General features: G+C 36.6%; 1 pseudogene; it reads left to right on the top strand.

Annotated features, from left to right (window-relative positions):
• Positions 4,065–4,394, top strand: RN7SKP174 (RN7SK pseudogene 174; annotated as a pseudogene).

Raw genomic sequence — 8,948 nt, 5'->3', positions numbered from 1 at the left:
CCCAAGTAGCTGGGATTACAGGCATGTGACACCACGCCCGGCTAATTTTTTTTTTTTTTTTGTATTTTTAATAGAGACGGGGTTTCGCCATATTTGCCAGGCTGGTCTGGAACTCCTGACCTTGTGATCCGCCTGCCTCAGCCTCCCAAAGTGCTGGGATTACCGGCGTGAGCCACCGTGCCCGGCCTATTTAATTGTAATTTTCTGAAATATTATAAGCAGAGTGAGTAGTGTGTGGAAGGGAACTTGGTGCACCCGAGGAACTGAAAGGTTAGTGTGCTGAAGAAATGTCGTATATGAGGCTATAGAATGAGTCAAGAACAGAACATGCTGGTCTTTGGGACATGTTACGGATTTTCACCTTTATCCAAAGAGTAGTTGGAAACTATTCAATCATTTCAGGCGAGAAATGACATGATCAGACTTGTGTTTAAGAGAGATCCCTATGCAGTCCACGTAGGACAAGAGGGAACACGACAGAATGTAGGGATTTTTGTTTCGTTTTTAGGAAATATTGCCTAAATCCATTGAAGTATATTAAAGCTCTGAAATAAGGAGAAAGTAGCGTACAACTTGGAGAAATTTTTAGGTGGTACATTTAAAATAACTCAGTGTGTGGCTGGATACATGTGTACAAGGAAGAGGTAATCAAGTTTCACAAGGGAAGAGTAGTTCTGATGCAGAGAAGGAATGTGAATTCACTAATAAGTGTACTACCTTTTCTCTGTAATTTAAAACAAAACTGTTCTTTTTTTACTCCTCCTCTCCCTTGCTTACATACAAGCACACCCAAATGTACATAATCATCCCAACATTTCAAAGAAATTCCAGGCATATTTCAGCCATATTTCAGACTAAACTGATATGGAAGATGCATCTATAGATAAATTGAAACGCTGATTAAATTTAAATATATAAGTGTATAAATATATATAAATAGATGTATGAATATGCTTTATGTATGTGTGTATATGCATGTATATATAGGTGTATATGTATATATATGCATATACATATGTATATAAAATCCAAAGGCTGCAGTCATAAGCAAATAAAAAACTGCTGCTTACACATAATCACAAATTTTAAAACATATAAGGAAACAAATAACAATATTTGTTATTTGTAATACAACCAACAGGAGTATTAACACCTACAAAGTACAGATAATATAACAATCTGAAAAAGACTACAAAATAAACCTAAAGTGATTAAAGAAGTAAAAGAAAGATAGGCAGCGTAATAACATAAAACAGTATGAATAAAAGATCAAGCAGATTTTAAATTAAAACTAATTCTGAAAATATCAAAAGTAAGTGAAAAATATCTTCAGAATACTATTAAACAACAGAAAAAAAGAGAGAATTGCTGGACCACCCTAAGAGAAAATCAAAGGTTTATCTTCTGAAGACACTTAACCAAAAAAGACCTGAACTCAGGAATAGCTGAGTTTCAAAATAAGATGCCCAATAGAAAGGTTCTACAGATAATGACTTTTATTGGGAAGGGTAATGAAATCAATTACCCGTTCTATTGTGTATCCAACAGTCAGAAACTCCTGACCATGAACACGGAGTTTCTAACGAACTTTTCAGAAATTAAGTTTTAATCTTAAACTTACTAGAAATAACTTCTACTTCCTTCCATGTAAAAGTATATGGTGGCCAGGTGCAGTGGCTCATGCCTGTAATCCCAGCACTTTGGGAGGCCAAGGTGGGCAGATCACGAGGTCAGGAGTTTGAGGCCATCCTGGCTAACATGGTGAAAACCCGTCTCTACTAAATATACAAAAATTAGCCGGGCTTGGTGGCGAGTGCCTGTAATCCCAGCTACTCGAGAGCCTAAGATAGAAGAATCACTTGAACCCGGGAGATGGAGGTTGCAGTGAGCCGAGATTGTGCCATTGCACTTCAGCCTGGCAACAAAGCAAGACTCTGTCTCAAAAAAAAAAAAAAAAAAAAAGTATATAGTAAAGGACTTGCCTTCCCGCATACACAGCTAGAAAACTAGGCAAAATATATGAAACAACACACAGAGCAGAACTGTGATCCTTGAGGGGTGGGGGGAAAAAATAAAACCAAAATAGCCCTATGATCATCTCAGCATCCCATCTGGAGCTAATTTTCAGACTACAGCATAGGGAGGGAAAAGTAAAGCCAACACCTTCACTGAGATGAAAAGATAAGAGATAAGAATTTTAGGAATTCAAAGTGGCAGGTATTTTAAGGGCAGAGTACCAGGGAACCATGCAGAAAAAGAGCTCCAGGCTGGGCATGGTGGCTCATGCCTGTAATCCCAGCACTTTGGGAGGCCGAGATGGGAGAATCACCTGAGGTCAGGAGTTCAAGACCAGCCTGGCCAACACCGTGAAACCCCGTGTCTACTAAAAATACAAAAATTAGCCGTGTGTGGTGGTGCATGCCTGTAATCCCAGCTACTCTGGAGGCTGACACAGGAGAATCGCTTGAACCTGGGAGGCGGAGGTTGCAGTGAGCCGAGATCATGCCACTGCACTCCAGCCTGGGTGGCAGAGCAAGACTCTGTGTCAAAAAAAAAAAAAAAAAAAAAAGCTCCAGAACTCTGCAGAAAGATCCATTCTAATATTTTTCAATTTTAGACATGTGTTAAGTAAAACTCTATAAAACCAGTCAAAGTATAATAGCCAGAAAATTATAAGCTGAACAATTTCCAGGTTTCATACCAGGTTTGGAAATACTAGAGTTCCTACCACCCAAAAAGGAAAAGATGCTGTTAACTTCACAGGACATTCAATAGAGATCTCACAAGAGGCATGCCTTAGTACTAGCACTAAATAGTCCTAAAGTAAAGGGTAGCATAGACCCATACTAACAAAGCCTGAAGACAAACCTCCAAAGAGTACAGCTGATCCACATTTAACTGAACTGTTTACCAAAACAAACTTTAAGATCATTAAAGGGAGAAAACAAGATTCAGACACTCAACCACATAAAAATTATAATGTCCATCATCTAAACAAAAATTGCTAGATATTCAAAGAAGAAGAAATACTTGATCTATACCAGGAAGAAAAGCAAAAGGGCAATAAAGAGATCCTGAAATGGCAGGGGCAACGGAATTAGCAGATAGAGACTCTAAAACAGTTATTATAATTATGTGCAAGGATTTAAAGAAAAATGGAGGGCTGGGCGTGGTAGCCCATGCCTGTAATCCCAACACTTTGGGAGGCCGAGGCAGGTGGATCATGAGGTCAAGAGATCAAGACCATCCTGGCCAACATGGTGAAACCCTGTCTCTACTAAAAATACAAAAATTAGCTTGGCATGGTGGCACACGCCTGTAGTCCCAGCTACTCAGGAGGCTGAGGTGGGAGAATTGCTTGAACGCGGGAGGCAGAGGTTGTAGTGAGCTGAGATTGCACCACTGCACTCCAGCCTGGCAACAGAGTGAGACTCCATCTCAAAAAAAAAAAAAAAAAAAAGGAAAATGGAAGATATTTTTACAACAATAAATGGAACTTCTTGTGTTGAAAAATACAATAACTGAAATAAAAAAGTCAAAGGACTTATATATCCAAAGATAAGAAATTGCAACAGAAAAATTCATTGAACTTCAACATATAGCAATAGAAACTATCCAAACCAAAGCACAAAGAGAAAAAAGACTGACAGGAAATGAATGGACTTTTATGAATTTTGAGACAATATCAGACAGTATAACATATGTGTACTGGGAGTGGCAGAAAGAGGTAACAGAGAAAGAAAAAACTATTTAAGAAATAATGGTTAGAAATATTCTTAACTTGATTACAACTCTGAACCCACAGATTTGAGAAGCTCAATAAAGTACAAGTAGGCTACAAACAAATAAACTGTCACAATCAAATTGCTGAAAACCTATGATAAAAGAAACATTTTTTAAAAAATAAAACACACACACATTATATATAGAATTACATACCTTGAAAACCCTAAAGACTGTCAAAAACTCCTGAAGCTGATAAACAACTTCAGTAAAGTTTCAGGATACACAATCAATATACAAAAATCAGTAGCATTTCTATACACCAATAATGTTCAAACTCAGAGGTGAGGGCGATCTGGTTGTGACATCTGTCACCCCATTAATCACCAGGGTTGATTCAGCTGATCTGGCTGGCTAGGCAGGTGTCCCCTTTCTCCCTCACAGCTCCATGTGTGTTCCTCCCAAAGCTGTGCGGTTGGTCAAAGAGGATGACCATCCCTGACAGAGGAGGACTTGTTTTCACTCAAGGGTGTACCAATGGCTGCACTCCCTGCTAGAACCTCCAAACAAGCTCTCAAAATCCATTTGTAGGAGAACATAGGGTAGTAAAGCTTCCAAGACTCCAGACACATCTGAATGAGGCACTGCATGTGGCAGTCAGCCTTTCTCTTTAAAAAATAATTATAATAATAATAATGTTCAAATTGAGAGCCAAGTCAAGAATGCAATCCCATTTACAATAGCAACAAAAACTAAAAATAAAATACCTAGGAATCTATCTAACCAAGGAGGTGAAATATCTTTACAAGGGGAATTATAAAACATTGCTTAAAGAAATCATAGATGACACAAACAAGGATTATGAATTGGACTAATCAATATGATTAAAATGATCATTAAAATGGCCATACTGTCCAAAGCAATCTACAGATTCAATGCTATCCCTATCAAACTACCAATGTCCTTTCTCACAGAACTAGGAAAAAACTCTTTTAAAATTCATATGGAACCAAAAAAAGAGGCCGAATGGCCAAAGCAACCCTAAGCAAAAAGAACAAATCCAGAGGCATCACATTACCCAACTTCAAACTATACAATAAGGCTACAGTAACCAAAACAGCAGGGTACTGGTAAAAAAGCAGACACGTGGACCAATGGAACAGAATAGAGAACCCAGAAATAAAGCCAATAGCAGTAATGTGATCTTCAACAAAGTTGACAAAAATAAGCAATGGGGAAAGTACTCACTATTCAATACATGGTGCTGGGATAGCTGGCTAGCCATCTGCAAAAGAATGAAACTAGACCCCCACCTCTCACCATTTACAAATTTTTTTTTTTTTTTTTTTTTAGACAGAGTCTTGCTCTGTCATCCAGACTGGAGTGCAGTGGCATGATCTCGGCTCACTGCAAGCTCCGCCTCCCGGGTTCACGCCATGCTCCTGCCTCAGCCTCCCGAGTAGCTGGGACTACAGGCGCCCGGCCACCACACCCAGCTAATTTCCTGTATTTTTAGTAGAGACGGGGTTTCACCATGTTAGCCAGGATGGTCTCGATCTCCTGACCTCGCGATCCGCCCGTCTCGGCCTCCCAAAGTGCTGGGATTACAGGCATGAGCCACCGTGCCCGGTCAATTTTTTGTATTTTTAGTAGAGATGGGGTTTCACCATGTTAGCCAGGATGGTCTCGATCTCCTGACCTCGTGATCTGCCTGCCTCGGCCTCCCAAAGTGCTGGGATTACAGGCGTGAGCCGCCACGCCCGGCCACCAGTTACAAAATTTAACTCAAGAGGATTAAAGATTTAAGTGGAAGACCTCGAACTACAGGAATCCAAAAGAAAACCTAGGAAACACCATTCTGGACATTGACCTTGGGAATTACTTTATGACTAAATCCTCAAAAGCGATTGCAACAAAAACAAAAATAGACAAATGGGACCTAATTAAACTAAAGAGATTCTGCACAGCAAAAGAAACTTTTAGCAGAGTAATCAGACAGCCTACACAATGGGAGAAGATATTCACAAAATATGCATCTGACAAAGGTCTAATATCCAGAATCCATAAGAAACTTAAACAATTGAAGAAGCAAAAAACAAACTCATTTAAAAAATGGGCAAAAAGTAAGAACAGACACTTCTGAAAAGAAGACATACAAGCAGTCAACAAACATGAAAAAATGCTCCACATCACTAATCATCAGAGAAGTGCAAATCAATCCATACTGGGATGCTATCTCATATTGGGCAGAATAGCTATTATTAAAACGTCAAGAAACAACAGATACTGGTGAGGCTGTGGAGAAAAGAGAACACTTACATACTGTTGGTGAAAATGCAAATTTCTTTAGCCATTGTGGAAAGCAATTTGGAGATTTCTCAAAGAACTTAAAACAGGACAACCATTTGACACAGCAACTCCATCACCAGGTACATATCTAAAAGAAAATAAATTGTTCCACCAAAAGAATTCATGCACTTGCATGTTCCTTGCAATACAGTACACGATAGCAAAGACATGGAATCAACCTAGGTGCCCATCAATGGTGGGTTGGATAAAGAAAACATATGCATATATGCCATGGAATATGGCACAGCTGTAAAAAAGAATGAAATCATGTTCTTTGTAGCAACATGCATACAGCTGGAGCCCATTATCCTAAGCAGGATATTGGAATTAACACAGGGAAAGAAAAATAAATACTGCACATTCTCACTTATAATTGGGAACTAAACATTGGGTACTCACGGACATAAAGATGGTGAAAATAGACACTTGAGACTATTAAAAGGGGAAGAAGGGAGGTGGGGCAAGGGTTGAAAAACTAACTATTGGATACTACACTCAGTACCTGGGGGATGGGATCAGTTGTACCCCAAACCTCAGCATCATGTGATATACCTAGGTAACAAACCTGTACATGTATCCCCTTGAATCTAAAATAAAAGCTGAAATTTAAAAATAACACAAAGGCAAAGATAGGTTAAAAGTAAATGGATAGAAAATTATATTCCATGGAAATGCAATATAATCATAAGAAAGCTAGAGTGCTTATATTAGTATTTGACAAAGTAGACTTCTGGAAAAGGAATATTAACAGAGATCTTAAAAAGACATTTTATAATGAAAAAATGGTCAATACATCAGCAAGATTTAACAATCATAAGTGTGACTATACCTAATCATTATGCATTGCTTAATGATGGAGATAAGTTCTCAGAAATGCATCACTTGGCAATTTTGTAGTTGTGCAAACATCACAGAATGTGCTTACACAAACATAGATGATACAGCCTACTACACACCTAGGTTATATGGTATAGCCCATTGCTCCTAGGCTGCAAAATGTATAACGTGTTACTGCACTGAATACGCAGGCAACTGTAACACAATGGCAAGTATCTGTGCAACTAAACATATGTGAACATTAAAAGGTATAGTAAAAACATGGTATTATAAACTTACGGGACCACCATCATATATGCTGTCTGTTGCTAACCAAAACATTGTTATGCTGTGCTTGACTGTAGTTTCAAAATAAATGAAGTAACAGCTGATAAAACTAAAAGGAGAAATAGACAAATACACAAGTTTAGTTGGAAAGTTAAACACTACTTTCTTAGTAATTGATATAACAATTAGAGAAAAACTCAGTAGCAATATACGTGACATGAACAATCCTATCATTTAACTTGATATAATAAACATGTACAGAACACTACAGAAAACAACACAATTTTTTTTACAAGTGGAAAATTCACTAAGATAGATTATATGCCAGGACATAAAACAAGTCTGTGGAAATATGCAATGTATGTTCTCAGACAATGGTAGAATAAAACCGAAACTCAACAACAAAAAGATAGCTAGAAAATGCAAAATTATTTGGACATTAAGTATCACACTTCTAAATTGTGCATAAACCAAAGAAAACAAATCATAAATGAAATTAGAAAATATTTGGAACTGAATGATAATCAATGCACAACATATTAAACTTTTGAAATGCTTTAAAATTTCTAGATTTAAATGCTTATATTTGGTGAAAAGAATCTAAAACCAAAAACCTAACCTTCCAACTTAAAAAGCTAAAAAGGAAGAGCAAATCAAATCCAAAACAAGTAGAAGGAAAATATTCAAATTTATAAAGTAGAAAAAAAATTGAAAGGATTAATGAAATTTAAAAAGCATCTTTTCAGAAGATTAATGAAATTTATAAAATTCCAGCTGAATGATAATGATGGATTCTGACAAATGGAATGGCTGTATCAGAGATGCACATTTAAATTAATGATAGATATTATCAAAGTCACTTACCTGAAAAGGATTTTTACCCATTTAGAATACACCAAGGTGTATGAAAACACCACTTTTGCAAGTCCTCTTAGACGTTAGATATTATTAATCTTTTTTATTCTTTAATTAAAATTTTTTATTGTTTTAGTTTTTATTTCCAGTGATGATTAGAGAGTTGAGAATCTTTGATGTATTTATTGGCATTTCGTATTTTTTTTCTTCCATGATCTGATCTTTGTCTTTTTCTTATTGCTTTGCAGAAGCTCTTTTGATGTTCTGGATAGTAGGATTTTGCCTGTTATATATTTATGTGGCATGTATTTCCTTCTTATGTGTTGCATCTCTCTTAATTTTGTTTTATACTCTATAGAAGTTTAAATTTTTTAGTCAAATCTGAGTTGACTTACGAGTTTTGTGATTATTGTGGAAGCTCTTCACTATACAAATTTTCTTAAAAATCTTTTTTCAATAATTGGATTTGACTTTTATATTTAGCTTTTAGAAATGTATCTTGTATGGCATGAAGTAGAAATTGACTTTTGCTCACTTCCATGTATAGATAATTATATCAAGAATATTTATTAAATACACCACTATACTTTTCCCTCTATGGTAAAACGTCACCTTTATCATAAATTAAATTCCCACATATATTACTTTGTTTCTGAACTCTATTTTGTTCTATCAAGCTATATAACTATTTCTATGCCAATGCTACATAGTTTTAATTATCATGATAATATATGGTTTTCTATACATAGCAGGAAAAAGTTTCCATGAAACATATTTTTGAGACTTTGAAAAGTATTGTATTACATTTATTAGATTTACTTGGGGATTTTTTTTCTTTTTTTTTTTTTTGAGATGGAGTCTCGCCCTGTCACCCAGGCTGGCATACAATGGCATGATCTCGGCTCACTGCAACTTCT

This window comes from Homo sapiens, chromosome 7 (genome assembly GCF_000001405.40).
Source record: "Homo sapiens chromosome 7, GRCh38.p14 Primary Assembly".
Lineage (NCBI taxonomy): Eukaryota > Metazoa > Chordata > Mammalia > Primates > Hominidae > Homo > Homo sapiens.
This window is presented reverse-complemented; position numbering and strand designations above follow the sequence as displayed.